Below are 16,989 nucleotides of genomic sequence, written 5' to 3'. Positions count from 1 at the left end.
CCTCAAACTCCTGGGCTCAAGTGATTCTGCCGCCTCAGCCTCCCAAAGTGCTGGGATCGCAGACGTGAGACAAGGTGGCCAGCCCACTTTGCTCATTTTTAATGCATGGGAAGCTGGCGGAGATTTATTTTCTTCTTCTTCCCCCAGGAATATGTTCTCATACATACATACTATCTAGGTCCTTTTAATTCCCCACTTCCCTAACTATCCATGTTCATGCATATTTACATTTAAAAAAAAATAGGATCATACTGGCTATGTTGATTCTGTGACTTTATCTTTTTCACTAAATAATATGACTCAGGAACCTTTCAAGGTCAGGAATGTGGATCCACCTCATTCATCTAAAATCTACTCATTCTCCCACATGAATGCATATACTGTAATCCCTTCCCATACCAGTGTTGCAAGCTCTGCCATGGACATTTTTATGTTATGTCAGTGCAAGTGTGAGCATTTCTGTGTGAGATTTTTCAAAGTGGGATTGCTGGACCAAAGAGCATGCCATTGAAGTTTCGAAAGACCCTGATAACTAATCTGAAGAAGGCCCAGAACTCAGTTGTTTCTCAAACAATTTCTGGCATGGATGTTTCTCTGATGCCTGGTGGAGAAGCGGGTGATGGTCTTAGACAAGTCTTTTAACCTTTGTGAGGCTTAGTTTGCTTATCTGTAGAGTGAGAAACAGTGTCATAGACACAACAGTGCTTTGGAGATGATAAGGTCCTGTGTAGGTTGGGTGCTGTGGCTTATTCCTGTAACTCACACTTGTAACCCCAGCGCTTTGGTTGTAACTCACACTTGTAACCCCAGTGCTTTGGGAAGCCAAGGCGGGAGGATCGCTTAAGCCTAGGAGTTAGAGACCACCCGACTCTGTCTCTACTAAAGAGAAAAACAAAAACCAGACAAGAAAGTCTTGTGTAAATGTGAGAAATTAAAAATTGTTATTAATATTGGAAGGCTCCACAGCTAGACACATCTCCTTCTCCTCATTACACAGAAACCAAAACGAGGAGCTTGTGCAAGAAAGAAGCTGTTTTTGGTTTTTATTTTGTTTTTTTTTGGAGACAGTGTCTCACTCTGTCACCCAGGCTGGAATGCAGTGGTGTGATCATGGCTCACTGCAGCTTCGACCTCCCCGGGCTCAAGCAATCCCCCCACCTCAGCCTCCCAGGTTGCTAGGACTACAGGCGCATGCCACCATGACCAGCTGATTTTTTTTTTCCTGTATTTTACAGAGATGGGGTTTTGCCATGTTGCCCACGCTGGTCTCAAACTCCTGGGCTCAAGCCATCCACCCGCCTCAGCTAGGAAGCTGTTTTATATTAAGTATCAACTATGTTTAAGGCCATGTATTAGACCAGCAGTTCTCAATAGCGAAGGAAAAGGATGATTTTGCTCCCCAGGGCACATCTGGCAATGTCTGCAGACATTTCTGATGGACATGACTCATGGGGTAGGGAGTGTCACTGGCATCTAGTGGGTAGAGACCAGAGGCGCTGCTGAATATCCTACAATACACAGGGGAGTCCCACAACAAAGAATCCTCTGACCCAACTGTCAACAGTGCCCAAAATGAGAACCCCTCATCTAGACCTGTCTCTTTTCTGATGTCCAACCCCAACAAACCTCATTCAAAGACGAGGAACTGAGGTTCAGAGACATGAATGACTTGCCTAAGTTTCCATAGACAGCCACTACCAGTGGCCAACTCTCTACTCCATCTGGCTTCAGGGTCTGTGGTCCATTCCACATACTACACTGTCTCTCTAGGAAGACATCCCCTTGTCCCCAGGCACCTTGGCCCTGGCAGATTATCTACGGCAAGGGTTACAAGTTTTGCCTTAAGGCATAAGCACCTCCCCACTTCATGATTAGAGGTTTTATGACTTTGCACTTGTAATCATTGTTTCTGCTCATTTTGCTGTGTGCTAAACATTTTATGAGGATTAACTCATTTTACCCCAAGGATATGTCACAGAGAGGTTAAGATCAGACACTAAGTGGCAGATTTGTGCTCTCGACCCAGATAAGAGGTCTCCAGGGACCAACCTCTCGGCCTCTCTACCGTGGTCCTCCTCATGCTTTGAACTTCGCCTTGGCAAAGTTGGGGCACAACAACCAATCCTTTAGCTGGGAACTGGGTGGGGGCAGAAACAGAGAGAGCCTCTACTTCAGACCATGCTGCCCAGCTGGGTGGTCCTAGAGAATCTGCCAGAATTTCAGCTCTTTTCCCATGCAATGCCCCAGGAGAAAAGACGCAGGCCTCTGAACAGAGATGAGACAATGTGCAGGGAACTCAAAGCCAGAGGGCGTGGGCAGGGGCTAAGAGGGAGGGGACCTTGGAGGGAAGGAATATGACATCCTCAGGACCTGTCCAAAGTTCTTGGAGCAAACCCAGCTATGCAAGTGAGGTTCCTGCAGTAGCCTCCACTCCAGCATCTCATTCTCATTAGCTGCAACTGATCTTATTAGCTATCCTGGGTCAGTTTGGATTTTGGCAAGCCTAGATTTGGCAATGGCCTCAACACAAAGATCGCACGGGGTAAGCAGGGATGCGCTGACACCCAGGAATGGATTCCACGAGGCAGCCTGCTGGGGGATGGCATTGAGTTCCAGCTCTGCCCCTTCCTGGCTTCATGACCTTTGCAGAGCCTTGGCGCTTCCTCTGACAAGTGGGGACTTGGGACCCAGCAGTCCCCAAGTCCCCATTGTAAATGTGAGGACTGGGGCTTGTGTCAGGGATCCTAGCACCTTAAGGGTCCTGGAGGGGTTGGGGCCAGCTGTCTCCCACAGGCTGGGTGACCTTGAGCAAGTCTCTTCCCCTTTTGTGCCTCTGTGTGTTTAACTGTCAAATGAAGGGGCCACGTCTTTAATGCAGAAGCCCTTTTAGGTCTTAGGACTCCAGACTGGACCATTTACCTCTCCCCGTGGCTAACCTCTTTGGGCCTCGAGAAAACACATTTCTCTATGACTCCACGCCGCAACACAGGCTCCAAAGAGCAAGACACAACTCACTGCCTCCCTCTCTCCTGCCTCCCAACCTGACCCACCAGAGAAGAGCTCTTCCCACCCCCTCCCCACCCCCAGGTCACCAACATCCTGTCCCTTAGTCTAGCTTCATCAAAGCAGCAAAGCCAACACTGTCTCCTCCCCAGTGGATGGGCCCAGCAGCACCCATTTCTCTTGGCTGAGTGCCCAGGGAATTCCACCAGGCAATGTCCACAGGCGCTTGCGGGGGTGCACACTTTAGGGGGGAAATGCGGGCCCTCTTGGAAGAGGGCCAGCTGTCCTCCCAGACTGCAAGAGAGAATGCATTGAACACAGCCTTTGTGCGTGTGTTGGGGCAGGGAGCGGGGGAGAGGTGGCGGGTGGTCTCTGCTGGTCCTGCTGCCTCAGAGGCCATCTCTGTTGTCAGAGTTTGAAGACTCCTGGAAGGGCCTCTAGGCCCCAGATCCCAGTTTTAAGAGCTCCAGTCTTACTAAATCTCGCTGAACCCCCTCTAGTCTTACCTTGGCCAGGGTGGGTGAGGAAAGGTGAGAGGATGTGAAATAGGTGGGGCAGCCAGGTGTGGGAGTGGAGTTGGGGTGAGGTGGAGAAGGATGGGATTGGGAGCGGTGGGAGGATGGTGCAGGGGGTTACTAGGATGGGGTTTGTGTGAAAGGGCTTGGGTGGAGTGGAGGGAGGTGGATGACTTGGAGGGGTGGCCAGACCTTTGCCCTGCTCCTGAGTATGAAGGTCCCTCATTTTACATCTTTACTGGGGAGGAGAGGGGAAATCCCCAAAAGCCTTTAATGTGGTGGTGTCAGAGGCCACCCTGCCTCTCTGACGGGTAGGGAGGGGTCTCCGGCAGGGCTAAGGGTGAATCATCTATCTCTCCAGAGCCCAGTATCTGGGGTGGGAGGGTGACTTGCAGAGTCTCTGCTCCGGGATTTCCTTGTCTTATGATGGGGGGAGAGCTTCCATTTGTCATGGAGGGGGAGGTCACTGTAATTTATAAGCTGAGAAGACCCCCATTATTCCGAAAGAGAGGGGAGAAGGAAGACACCCAAACTTAGTTTTCTAAGGATGGGGAAGGGGCATCAGTCTCCCAAGAGGTGAGGGGGCTCTAGAGACCTGGAGACCACTTTTTGGGGCCGCATTCTATTTCAAGCGGTAAAAGGGAGAGGACTTCTGTCTAGAGCTGGAGCCAGGAGGAAGGGCCCATTTCTGAAGGAGAAAGGAAGGTATTTTGCTCTCTGGGGGGTGGGAGCCCCTGTCTTTTCGGGGGAGGGCCCCGCGTCTTGGGAAGATGAGGGCTCCGTTTCCAGGAGAAGATGCCCAGGTTTTGCTCCTGGGGGCAGGGCAGAAGGACCTCCTCTCGGCTCCCCTCGGAAGGGCCCGTCCCAAGCCACCCGGCGCCTCGCGCTCACCTCCAGGCCCCGTCTCCGATCTGCGGGATCCGATCCGCCGGGTTCCGACTTGCGGGATGCGCGCCCCGAGTTCCGGCAGCGCTGGGTGTCTGCTCGACTTCCCCCAGCGACTCGCCGGACTCCCTGGCTCCGCCGAGCGTCCCGGCCAATCAGCGCCGCCAGCCCCGGCCCTCGCTTTCGCCACAGCCAATGGGTGCGCCCGCCACGGGCCACCGCCCCCAGGAGGGAGGTGGCAGGCGGGGCGGGGGCAGAGTCCAGCCTCCGGGGGCGGGGGAGACGGGGGCTGGGGCGGGACCCACCAGAGGGACCGCGAGGGCTGGGAGGGAGTCCTGGGACTGGGGAGGAGACGGCTGAGGACCCCCGTCAAGTTGTGGGGACCCTGACCCTCTGGGGGGCAGCTCCATAGGTTGATTTAACCTGGATCTTAATGGGCCATTTACACCCTCAGGGCTGCAGGCGAGTGTAACTCCACCTCCACCCGCGTCTCGGATCCGGTCTCTGGAGCTCCAGAGTCGGAATCAGAAGGGGTTCCTTTGCGGAGAAGGGAAGGAGCATCCCGCCCTCCCCACCTCACTCCCCATCTCGGCGCTCAGGGCCCTGCCAGCCCTTCTTGCTCCCAGCTACTTTCCTCCGCCTGGCCCCAGCGCTCCGGAAGACAAACAGGGCGCTGGGAGTCAGAGGTGGTTCCTTCTGCATGACCTGGAGCAGGTCACTGCGCCTCCTGATCCTCAATTTCCTGAAATTGGGACAACAGAGATTGTACCTCCTTCGTGGGTATAAACGAGACCCTAGATATGATGAAGGTGCCTTTCTACCGTTGTATAAAATGCTGTGTGGAAGATAATTAATACTCAGGTGTGACGGATGGATAGCCCCCCCACAGCTTTCTAGAGGTATTTGGAAAGAGGATGCAATCTTTCAGTGACAAAATCAAAGACACAAAGAACTGCTCATCAAGACAACAGGCGATCACCAAGTCCTCATAATGAATGAATGGATGGATGGAGAGTACAGACCTTAAAGGCAGAGAAAGAGTTCAGCTTGGTTCTCCCCACTCACCCTGATCACTGATAACTTGGTCTGTGGAGTCTTGTAGAACCCTGAGGTCTCTCCTCCTGCTGTCCAGGAATCCAGGCTGCCCTATCTCTGATTACACAAGCGCTATAGTCCTTGCAATTAAAGAATTAAGATAAAGTAAACACATAGATAAATAGAAAGCTGCCAAACAAATCATTCACCTCCTAGTGTCACCTCTGGGGACCCTCCCCCCCAACACACACACACACACACACACACACACACACACACACACACAGAGCAGTAAATAAGAATAATTGAGGCCTGGCACAGTGGCTTACGCCTGTAATTCCAGCACTTTGGGAGGCCGAGGCAGGCAGATCACTTGATGCCCAGAGCTCGAGACCAGCCTGGCCATCATGGGGAAACCCCCTTTCTATTAAAAATACAAAAATTAGCCTGGCATGGTGGCACCTGCCTGTAATCCCAGCTACCTGGGAGGCTGAGACATGAGAATCGCTTGAATGGAGAGGCAGTGGTTGCACTGAGGTGAGATGGCACCACTGCACTCTAGCCTGGGTGATTGTCACCTTGCTTGAGGAACTTGATGAGGCCTGTGCTGAAAATCTAGCAATTTTTTCTTAAAACCAAAGCCATGAACATAATCCCCTTTACTACCCTTGACCTGCCCAAAGAAATACAACGGCCAATAAACATGGGAGATGACACTTTGAAAAGGAAAGGCAAGTTAAAACCAAAAGAGGGAAAGAGTTTACCTACCAAAATGACCTTGTTTTTATTATTATAATTACTATTCTTTGCAAAGACTTCAAGGAGTTTCATGTATTGATGATGGCAGTAGAAAGATCACAGCCTTTCTGGAGGGAAATTGGGTATTTCTATTTTAAAAATCTTAAAAGTAAGTTGACCCTTTGATCTAGCAATCCAATCCCTATGAACTTATCTGAAAACATTTAAAGGTACAAAGATTTAATGATAAAGTAGCTTACTACCATTTTGTTTATCACAGGGAAAAACTGGGAACAACTTGAATGCACAACAGCAGGGACTCAGAGGGAAATTGTTGCATGAAATTGAACAATAAACATAGGTATGAAATATTGAATGGGGCTGGGTGTGGTGACACGCCTGTAATTCCAGCACTTTGGGAAGCCAAGGCAAGAGGATCGCTTGAGCCAAGGAGTTCAAGACCAGCCTGGGTAACATAGTGAAACCCTGTCTCTACAAAAAATACAAAAATTATCCGGGCGATGTGGCGCATGCATGTAGTCCCAGCTACTCAGGAGACTGAGGCAGCCTTGAGCCTGGGAGGTTGAGGCTGCTGTGGGCCAAGATTACACCACTGTACTCCAGCTGGGTGACAGAGTGAGACCCTGTCTCAAAAACAAAACAAAACAAATCTCAAAATGTTAAGTTATTTGCAAAAACAGTATATTTGGTACTGTCTTACTTTTTGTTAAACATCTTACTTTTTGTTAAATCTACCAGGTAGAGCTAGATCAATGCTGTGTAATATAACTTTCTATGATGCTCTATATCTGTGCCGTCCCGTGTGGTAGCCACTAGCCACATGGAGGTATTGAACACCTGAAATGACTAATTTTGGTATCCAAGATGTTTAAAAAAAAAAAAGAAAGAAAGAAATAATAAAAAAAGGAAAAGGGAAAAATAAATTTAAAATTTTGGAAAAAGCAATGACTAGTTAACCGAATAACTGTATTTTAATTGTATCTATTTATTTATTTTTTTAGAGACGGAGTCTCGCTCTGTCACCCAGGCTGGAGTGCAGTGGTGTGATCTCAGCTCGCTGCAACCTCTGCCTCCCAGGTTCAAGCGGTTCTCCTGCCTAAGCCTCCTGAGTAGTTGGGATTACAAGCGTGCTCCACCACGCCTGGCTCGTTGTTTAATTTTTTAATTTTTAGTAGAGACAGGGTTTCGTCATGTTGGCCAGGCTGGTCTCAAACTCCTGGCCTCCAGTGATCTGCCTGCCTCAGCCTCCCAAAGTGCTGGGATTACAGGTGTGAACCACCACGCCCAGCCTGTATCTAATTTTAATTTAAGGTGTAACAGTAACAGGTAGCTAGTGGCTATCATATTAAAAGGCACCGATATAGCTAGCTAGCAATGCTGAGTGAAAAACTGTGTTCAGTAGGAGAATGGTTATTTTTGTGTATTGAAATTATAGATTATTCTAATATTACTTTATTTGCATGTCCATGTCAGTAATTTCTTTTTATCCCCTTGGGTTTATTTTTAATAGAGGATAAACTTTACAATGTCACTAATTTCTAATTATTCTGTAATGAATATATATTACTCTGGTACTAAGAAGAAAATATTTAAAATGAAAAACAGAAAGGAAAAGTCTAAACCAAAGGGCCCGGAGTGGTGGCTCACACCTGTAATCCCAGTATTCTGGGAGGCTGAGGCGGGCAGATCACTTGAGGCCAGGGGTTCGAGACCAGCCTGGCCAACATGGCGAAACCCCATCTCTATTTATAAATAATTTTTTTTTAAAAAAGAGTCTAAGCCAAAGGTTGACAAACTATAGCTCATAGACCAAATGTAGTTCATCATGTTTTCCTATGACCATGAGCTAAGATTGGTTTTACATATTAAATGGTTAAAAAAATTCACAAGAAGAATAATGTTATGTGACACATAGAAACTACATAAAATTCAAATTTTACTGTGCATAAATAAAATTTTATGGGAACACAGCCAGGCCTATTTATTTATGCATTGTCTATGGCTGTCTGTGAGCTACAACAGCAGAGCTGAGTAGCTGTGACAGAGACTCTGTGACCTGAAAAGACAACAATATTTACCTTCCAGCCCTTTGCGAAAAATCTGCCGTGTCCTGGTCTAAGGCAATCAAGGGAAATAAGAAGTGTGTGTAGCCATCTTCATTCATCTGTTCATTCATTCATTCAACTAGGTTTTGAGCACCCATTTGTGGGTCAGGCCCTAGGAAAGGGCACTTCTAGAGGATAAAAGGAGCTGCTTTGTCTCTACTTAAGGACTAGGGAGAGAAGGCTATTTAGAGCCAGGTGCTTTGCAAGCTGATTCTCAAATAGCTTCATTGTGATACTTGTGAAGAAAACTGTCAGCATGTGGAAAAAGCCCTTTCCATATTGGCTTCCCTTGCATTTTCTGCCATTCTGCAGTTTTCCTATGGAGCTGCTTGGGGTTGCAGCTGTCTGCCAGGGAATGCAGAGTGTTTCCCAGAGTTTGGCTGAGGCCTGGGATGAAGACTCACCCATACTCTGTGCCTATCAATAAGCTCCTTCCAGAAGCGCAGCTGTAGCTGGGAGGGCCCCCACTGCACTCTGGAGAGGAGAAATGAAAACAAAGGCAAGGGTGAATGAGGCTCCAAGGGTACCAGTTGTCTCCACAGGAGAGACTCTTAGAGATCAGCAGCCCATTGTACAGAAGAGGAGACTGAGGCCCAGAGAGGAGGAATAACTTGTCCAGAGCCAGATTAAAGCACATATTTTATTGACTAGGCCTGTGATTTCCACATCCCTGGTCACAAAATAATAAAGAGATATCATCTATACAAAATAATAAAGGGCATTTTGATGTGGTGGAAAGGGGATCAACTTGGGAGTCAGACCTAATATTGAATTCTAGTTCCAACTCCCAATGGCTATGTGACTCTGGACATGTCATTTACTCCCTCTCAGTCTCTATGTTCTAATCTGTAAATTGAATAAAGTATCTACCACGTTTTCACATGTAAAAGAAAGAAGATAGACGCTTACCTCACACCATATAAAAAAACTAACTCAACATTGGATCAAAGACCTAAATAAATATAAGACCTAACACTATAAAATTCTTAGAAGAAAACATGGGAAGGGGGAACAGGTGCAATGGCTCACACCTGTAATCCTAGCACTTTGGGAGCTCCAAGGCTGCCGGATCACTTGAGCCCAGGAATTTGAGACCAGTCTGGGAAACCTGGCAAAACCCCACTGTTAGAAAAAATACAAAAATTAACCAGGTGTGGTGGTGTGTGGCTGTGGTCTCAGCTACTTAAGAGGCAGAGGTGGGAGGATTGCCTGAACCTGGGAGGCAGAGGTTGCAGTGAGCCAAGGTTGTGCCATTGCACTCCACCTAGCCTGGGTGACAGAGCAAGACTCCATCTCAAAAACAACAGCAACAAAAAAGCATTTTGATTGTACTTAATGCCATTGAATTGTACACTCTAAAATGGTAAAAATTGGTGAATTTTGTGCAATGTGTATTTTACCATAATAAGGAAAAAAGTATGTACCACAGTAGGTCATTGGTTGGGTAAGTAAGGGAAGTTTGCTCCTGGTCCCTGCTGGGCACTGTGCATTAGCCCTGTACATAGTTGTACTAGTTTCACCAAACTATCTGCTTGATTGTGAGAGGTGGGCCAGAGCTCATTCATTCATTTAGTAATTTTTCCATCAATTTGTTCAGTCAACAAATACACATTTAGCACCTACTGCGTGCCAGGCATTGGGGATTGTGGTCCTGACCCCATGGAACTTCCATTCTGCAGCTGGGAGACAGTGTATAAGAAGATGAATGTGTAACTAAGAAAGCTCTTTTCTTTTTTTTTTTTTTTTCTTTTCCTTTCTCTTCTCTTTTCTTTTTTTCTTTCTGTCTTTCTTTCTTTTCTTTCTCTCTCTCTCATTTTTTTCTCTCTTTCTTTTTTTCTCTCTCTCTCTTTCATTCGTTCTTTTTTTTCTTTCTTTTTGAGACGGAGTCTTGCTCTGTCACCCAGGCTGGAGTGCAGTGGCGCTATCTTGGCTCACTGCAACCTCTGCCTCCCCGGTTCAAGCGATTCTTGTGTCTCAGCCTCCCGAGAAGCTGGGATTACAGACGTGTACCACCATACCCAGCTAGTTTTTGTATGTTAAGTAGAAATGGGGTTTTGCCATATTGGCCAGGCTGGTCTCGAAATCCTGGTCTCAAGTGATCTTCCCACCTTGGCCTCCCAAAGTGCTGGGAATGCAGGTATGATCTACTGTGCCCAGCCTAAGAAGCTAATTTCTGATAATAAGTGCTTTAGGGAAATGCAAAATAAGATGATGTTCCTGGGATCAGGGTGGGTACACCAGCCATGATGCTCAGGGAGTTGTCCACAAGGCTGTGACATTTAATCTGAGGCCTGAATGCTAAGAGGAAGGCTTCTATGGGATTATCTTGTGCTTGTTCTCATGCATTTTGGCCCTCGTGCTAGGCTCCTAGAAGACCCAAGGGCTGCCTCCAGCTTTCCTCCTCTGAACATCTCAGGTAATATGGGGAAAGCATGAGAAAGTGAGCCAGGCCCAACAGGCAGCTGCTGCATCTGACACGTCACACACATGTCAGGGCTTTGTTCTGCTGCCATTGTGATGACTGGGACCGCCAGCATTGCCAGCCCAAAGGATGCACGGCAGTGCAGTCCCCCTTCTGGCTCAAGATGTAGTGAAATGACAGGGGAGCTGGGTCATACTGCCACCCCCATGCTCTGCAGGACTTCCTAAAGGCAGAAAGTGAACAACAGACAATTCTCATGCTCAACATGTCAGTGGTGCCGAGCTTGAGAAACCCTGCCTGAGTTAATGTGTATGTAGTTCCAAGAATATAGAAGGAGCTTAGTACATCCTGGGTCCCTTCCTCCTGTGGCTAGAGATACCCTGCCTATTTACCCCAATTCTTCTTGACAATACATGGCTGTGGTATCTCCAGGGATCAGTTGGAGTGTAGCTCCCTCATCGAGACTGATGGAAAAAATAGCTAAACATGTACTTCTTTTCTGAGTTCTTTGATGACTTGACTTCTGACAGTGCTTGGCATGCAGTAGGAGTTCTAGGAATACGTATCAATTTCACTGCATGAAAAGGACAGCAGGATGCTGAGGAAGGACATCTTGGAGAGCTCTTGGGGAGCTCTTGGGGAGCTCTTGGCCCTGAGGCGCTGTCCAGGAACTCTGTGCTGAAACTTTACAGAGGAGGAGAAAACCCCAAAAATGTGGCACATATACACCATGGAATACTATGCAGCCATAAAAAAGAATGAGATCATGTCCTTTTCAGGGACATGGATGAAGCTAGAAGCCATCATTCCCAGCAAACTAACACAGGAACACAAAGCCAAACACCACGTGTTCTCACTCATAAGTGGGAGTTGAGCTGTGAGAACACATGGACACAGGGAGGGGAACATCACACACAGGGGCTTGTCAGGGGATTGGGGGGCAAGGGGAGGGAGATCATTAGGACAAATACCTAATGCACGCGGGGCTTAAGACTTAGATGACGAGTTGATAGGTGCAGCAAACCACTATGGCACATGTATACCTATGTAACAAACCTGCACATTCTGCACATGTATCCCAGAACTTAAAATAAAATAACAAAATAATAAAGAAAATAAAAATTTAAAATAAATAAATAAAACAACTTTATTAATTTTATTAACATAAAAATTTTGTTAAAAGAAAACCTGAACTGAGATTGAACTCTTCCCCACTGAGAAAGCAAGCCCAGGCATCCTTTCTCCCTCTCGTCCTCATCTCTCCTCCCTACAGACAATGGAAGATGAAAATCAGGAGACAGAGCCGGGCGCGGTGGCTCAGGCCTGTAATCCCAGCACTTTTGGGGGCTGAGGTGGGTAGATCAACTGAGGTCAGGAGTTCGAGACCAGCCTGGCTAACATAGTGAAACCCTGTCTCTACTAAAAATACAAAAAACAAAAAAATTAGCTGGGCATGGTGGCAGGTGCCTGTAATCCTAGCTACTAGGGAGGCTGAGGCAGGAGAATCATTTGAATACGAGAGGCGGAGGTTGCAGTGAGCCGAGATGGTACCATTGCACTACAGCCTGGGCAACAAGAACAAAACTCCATCTCAAAGAAAAAAAAAAAAAAAGAAAGAAAGAAAGAAAGAAAAGAAAATCAGGAGACAGCATGGCAGAATGGTTATATCCTCAAACTCTGGAGTTAAAGAGAGTTGGGCTCATATTCTGGCTGTGACGATAAAGAATTACATGACTTTACATAGATGACTTCACTTCTGAGCCTCAGTCCCATCTGTAAAATGGGATGATGATCATAATGTCTGCATCTCAGAGATTTCATGAGTGTTAAGTGGGAGAAGTGCCTTAGAGCACGTAGCAGGCAGTGGCTGGCATGTAGTAAGCACTCAGCAAATATTAGCTATGACCATAAATGTTTTCATAATCATCACTCTTGTAGTTTGGGTTCTCCTAGAAATAGATTCTGAGACAAAGATTTGAGTGCTTTATTTGGGAGGTGATCTCAGGATGATTCCAGGAGATATTGGTGGGTCGATAATAAGGTGTGGGTTATCTAGCAAATAATCACTGTGGGTGACTGCAGCTCCGTTCCATTGGGGAACACTGGGAGCCGGCACAGAACAGTCACTTTAGGATTATCCCACCGTGGAGCAAGGAAGCTGGGGTATTTATACACCAACTACTCCCCGTCATTGGCCAAGAACTGCTTGCTCAGGATGTCAACTCCCCAGCACTTCTGGCCACCTGTCCCTTTCAGGTTGAGCAGACTCTCAGGCAACCAAAGAACACCCTCAGGGTGAGTCTCAGATGATAGAGGCAGGTGAACTTGCAAAGAAATGGAAAATGCTGCACAGATATTGGCTTTTCCTCCTGCACCATCACCTGTGGCCACAGCTAAGGTTCTAAATGCCTCTCTGCTGGGCTATCATAGTCTGTGCTCACTTCTGTAATAGCATTTGTCAACTTCATTAATTCATTCAGTCATTAATTCTGTAGCTCATTCGCACCCTCAGGTATTCATCCATTTACTCACTTATACTTCCACACTTAACTGCTGACTAAATGCTACATGCAGGCCTCAGGCTCCTAAATGGTCTATTCCAGGGGTGTCTCCGCCTGGCCAGGAAGCTCCTTGGGGAGAAGCCCTGGGCCCGATTGGTCTTCTGGTGCCAGGTATTCAGCACAGCGTCTGGCACACAGCAGGGCTCAGGATGTGTTTAATGGAGCTGAAGCAAATTAGAGCCCAGAGTAGGGTTTTTCTCTTCTACAAACTGAGCGTGCTGTGAAGATCCAGGCTTTCTTCAAGCTGGGTACTTGTTAACCAGATGTTTCAAATACCTGTCCTACGAGAAAAGTCTTTGTGAAATGAATCTTGGGAATCCTGGAAGTTTTCAGACACGAAGTGTATGCAAACGCTCAGTCTCCTGCTGAATTCAGAGGCAGCAGAGGGAGGGGCTTTGCCTGGAAGGTGCCAGGCTGTATGCTGGGTCCCAGAGGCAGCTCCTGACTTGGAGTCACCAGGGTTCAAGGTCAGACCCACCGTTCCTTCTCAGGCATTTGTCTCTCTCAGCCTCAGCTATTTTTGTTTTATTTTGTTTTGAGAGAGCGTCTCACTCTCATCACCCAGGCTGCAGTGCGGTCTTGGCTCACTGCAGCCTCGATCTCCTTAACTCAAGTGATTCTCCCACTTCAGACTCTTGAGCAGCTAGGTCTACAGATGTGCACCACTATGCCTGTTTATTATTATTACTTTTTTTGTATTTTTAGTAGATACGGGGTTTCACCATGTTGCCCAGGCTGGTCTCAAACTCCTTAGAGGATACCGTGGAAACTCCTGCCCTAGAGTCAGGCCCATCAGGGCTCCCACCCAGCTTTCTCGCTCACAGACTGTGGGATCCCTAGTGAGTCCCTCCTCCCCAGGGACCCTCAGTTTCTGTGCCTTTAAAGCAGGGTGATACAGTGAGACGTGCCAGACAACCAAGCAGGTGAGATGATTTTCATTCTGATTTCCTGAGCACCTGGCTCAGGTGCGGGCTGCTCTAGGGCCCTGGATAAGGATCTTTGCATGAAAGACCTCAATGTCACATGAACACACATGGATCACTTGAGATGGGTCCTGGGAAAGAGCTTTAGAGTGGGCTAGACGTGGTGGCTCATGCCTGTCATCCCAGCACTTTGGAAGGCTGAGGTGGGAAGATCACTTGAGCCCAGGAGTTTGATACCAGCCCAGGCAACATAAGGAGACCCCATCTTTACAAAAATACAAAAAATAAATAAATTAGCCTGGTGTGGTGGTATGTGCCTAGGTCCTAGCTACTCAGGAGGCCAAGGTGGGAGCACTGCTTGAGCCTGAGAGGCTGAGGCTGTAGTGAGCCGTGATAGCATCACTGCACTCCAGGCTGGGTGGCAGAGCAAGACCCCATCTCAAAAAAAAAATACATAAATAAAATGTAGGCTGGGCGTGGTGGCTCACACTGTAATCCCAACACTTTGGGAGGCTGGGGCAGGTGGATCACCTGAGGTCAGGAGTTCGAGACCAGCCTGGCCAACATGGTGAAACCCTGTCTCTACTAAAAATACAAAAATTAGCTGGGCATGGTGTCACAGGTGAACAGACAGGTGAACTTGCAAAGAAATAGAAAATGCTTGCAAAGAAATAGAAAATGTCTGTGGTTCCACTTACTTGGGAGCCTGAGGCAGGAGAATCGCTTGAGTCCAGGAGCCGGAGGATGCAGTGAGCCGACATCACGCCATTGCACTTCAGCCTGGGAAACAGAGCGAGACTCCATCTAAAAAAAAAAAAAAAATTAAAAAACTTAGAATGCACAAGTGTAAGGAAAGAGGAAAGATCATTGCCTAGCCCAGTGGTTATTAACTGGGGCCATCTAGCCACAGCTGGAGACAGTTTTGGTTGTCATGACTGTGGTCGGGGGTGGGAGACAGGGAGGTGCTCCTGGCATCCGGTGGGTAGAGGCCGAGGGGACTGCTGAATGCTCTACAATGCATAGGACAGTCTCCTATGACATGGGATTACTGAGCCCAACACGTTGGCAGTGCTGAGACTGAGAAACCTCACTCTAGTGTAACTCCTCTAGTCTGACAAATGAAACCCAGAAAGGTCTAAGATGATCCAAGATGTGATCAGCAGACTGACCTTGGGCAAGCTTTAATTTCTCCAAGCCTCAGTTGCTTCATCTGTAAAATGGATGTAAGAATAATAGTACTTACCCCACAGGGCTGTGAAGAGGTTTAAAAGGGATACAGAGTCAGGGCTGGGAAAACACAGGCAGAAAAATAGGAGGAGTGGGAGGACCTCCCCCAGCCTCCAGGTGGGGCCCCCACCTGGGTGGGGCCCCCTCTTGATTTTAGCTCTGAACTCTTCCCCAGGTGACCCTCCCACTGGAACATCCAGGTATGTGTTGTCATAGAAACCTTTCAGGGACGGTGCACTCGAGAGCTTGACTGATTTTTTTTCTCCCCAAAATAACCCACCCTGTCAGTCAAGTAACACTTAGGCGAAGTGGTTAGGCAAGTGAGACTGTTTTACCATCATTAACTGTTGAGCAGGACGCCTACTTGGGGAATTTCCATTCTCCCAAGACACACAGTTAATAGAAATGCAACAGAGATTAATAATAATAGGGAGATGATGATGATGATGGCTTGGCTACCTTTTTTTTTTTTTTTTTTTGAGACGGAGTTTTGCTCTTGTCACCCAGGCTGGAGTGCAGTGGTGCAATCTTGGCTCACTGTAACCTCTGCCTCCCGGGTTCAAGTGATTCTCCTACCTCAGCCTCCCAAGTAGCTGATTATAGGCGCCTGCCATCATGCCCGGCTAATTTTTGTATTTTTAGTAGAGACGGGGTTTCACCATGTTGGCCAGGCTGGTCTCGAACTCCTGACCTCAGGTGATCCACCCGCTTCAGCCTCCCAAAGTGCTGGGGTTACAGGTGTGAGCCACCACGCCTGGTGATGGCTACCATTGCTTGAGCTTTTCTTCCTTGCCCTGTTATATGTTAGGTGCTTGACAGACATTACCAAGTCCAACTTTGAGAAGTAAGTACTAGTAGTGTGCGCATTTTACAGACCAGGATTCTGAGGCTCAGAGAGGTGAGTGTTCGGGCTGGTTTGAGTTCAGATGCCAGGTGCCATGTTCTAACCATCAAGCTTTATTGCCTCTGAGGAACCTCCAGTGGAAAGGGGTGCTGGGGGAAGGCTCTGTTCCTTTTGTCCCTGTCTCCAGGACCCAAACCATCAGCTTCATGCTCTTTCTTGGTGAGCTCTGAAGCTGGAAACTCCACCACCAGTCCATGCATCCCACTGTGAAGGTTGTCACCTTCCTGGTCTAGAAGAAACGCTCCAAAGAAACACCCCCAAGAAACGCTCCCACATGGCTCTAACAGCAGTTGTTTCCTGAAGCCTGAGGCAGGCAGAATAAGACTGTCATCATGTCCCAGCCCTGGCATGTCAAACCCTTCAATCCATCCAAAGACAATGGCACAGCATAAGCTCCAATCCACAAGGCTCCTGGATTCCTTCAGACAAACAATATTCACCCTGGGCAGGGGTCATGGAAAGAGCTCTGGGTTTCCAATGGAAAGACAGAACCGGTGTTAGATCCCACCTCTTGTTACTTCTTTGCTATTTTTATTTTTAGAGACAGAGTCTCGCTCTATTGCCCAGGCGGGAGTGCAGTGGTGCAGTCACAGTTCACTGTAACCTCAAACTCCTGGGCTCAAACAATTCTCTTGCCTTGGCCTCCTGAG

General features: G+C 47.7%; 2 protein-coding genes across 15 annotated transcripts in view, besides 4 other annotated features; both read right to left on the bottom strand.

Annotated features, from left to right (window-relative positions):
* The window catches only part of ABAT (4-aminobutyrate aminotransferase), a 109,954-nt gene extending 105,450 nt beyond the window's left edge, over positions 1–4,504 (bottom strand). For all 12 annotated transcript variants that reach the window (XM_047433688.1, NM_001386602.1, NM_001386615.1 and 9 more), the window contains exon 1: positions 4,410–4,504. The gene's annotated coding sequence lies outside the window, so the exon portion shown is untranslated. The remainder of the gene's footprint in view (positions 1–4,409) is intronic.
* Positions 4,452–4,911: a silencer, noted in NCBI's record as "silent region_7176". NCBI's record gives its function as "represses an Ori minimal core promoter by ATAC-STARR-seq in GM12878 lymphoblastoid cells {active_cell/tissue: GM12878}" and the evidence as "EXISTENCE:reporter gene assay evidence [ECO:0000049][PMID:35858748]".
* Positions 4,452–5,005: a biological region, named in NCBI's record as "H3K4me1 hESC enhancer GRCh37_chr16:8767973-8768472".
* Positions 4,506–5,005: an enhancer, noted in NCBI's record as "H3K4me1 hESC enhancer chr16:8767973-8768472 (GRCh37/hg19 assembly coordinates)". NCBI's record gives its function as "activates a minimal SCP1, AML or CMV promoter by ChIP-STARR-seq in naive H9 embryonic stem cells {active_cell/tissue: H9 hESC(naive)}" and the evidence as "EXISTENCE:reporter gene assay evidence [ECO:0000049][PMID:30033119]".
* Positions 5,006–5,507: an enhancer, noted in NCBI's record as "H3K4me1 hESC enhancer chr16:8767471-8767972 (GRCh37/hg19 assembly coordinates)". NCBI's record gives its function as "activates a minimal SCP1, AML or CMV promoter by ChIP-STARR-seq in naive H9 embryonic stem cells {active_cell/tissue: H9 hESC(naive)}" and the evidence as "EXISTENCE:reporter gene assay evidence [ECO:0000049][PMID:30033119]".
* METTL22 (methyltransferase 22, Kin17 lysine) overlaps positions 11,847–16,989 on the bottom strand; it is a 45,577-nt gene continuing 40,434 nt past the window's right edge. For 2 of the 3 annotated variants that reach the window (XM_017023660.2, XM_017023659.3), the window contains one exon: positions 11,847–15,012. In XM_017023660.2, coding sequence (XP_016879149.1) covers positions 14,809–15,012 — 204 coding nt within the window. In that variant the 3' untranslated portion in view covers positions 11,847–14,808. The remainder of the gene's footprint in view (positions 15,013–16,989) is intronic. The other variant, XM_047434610.1, reaches the window with a different exon arrangement.

The sequence above is a fragment of the Homo sapiens genome, chromosome 16, assembly GCF_000001405.40.
Source record: "Homo sapiens chromosome 16, GRCh38.p14 Primary Assembly".
In the NCBI taxonomy this organism is placed as follows: Eukaryota; Metazoa; Chordata; class Mammalia; order Primates; family Hominidae; genus Homo; species Homo sapiens.
Note: the sequence above shows the minus strand (reverse complement) of the source record. Positions and strands in the feature narration are given on the sequence as shown.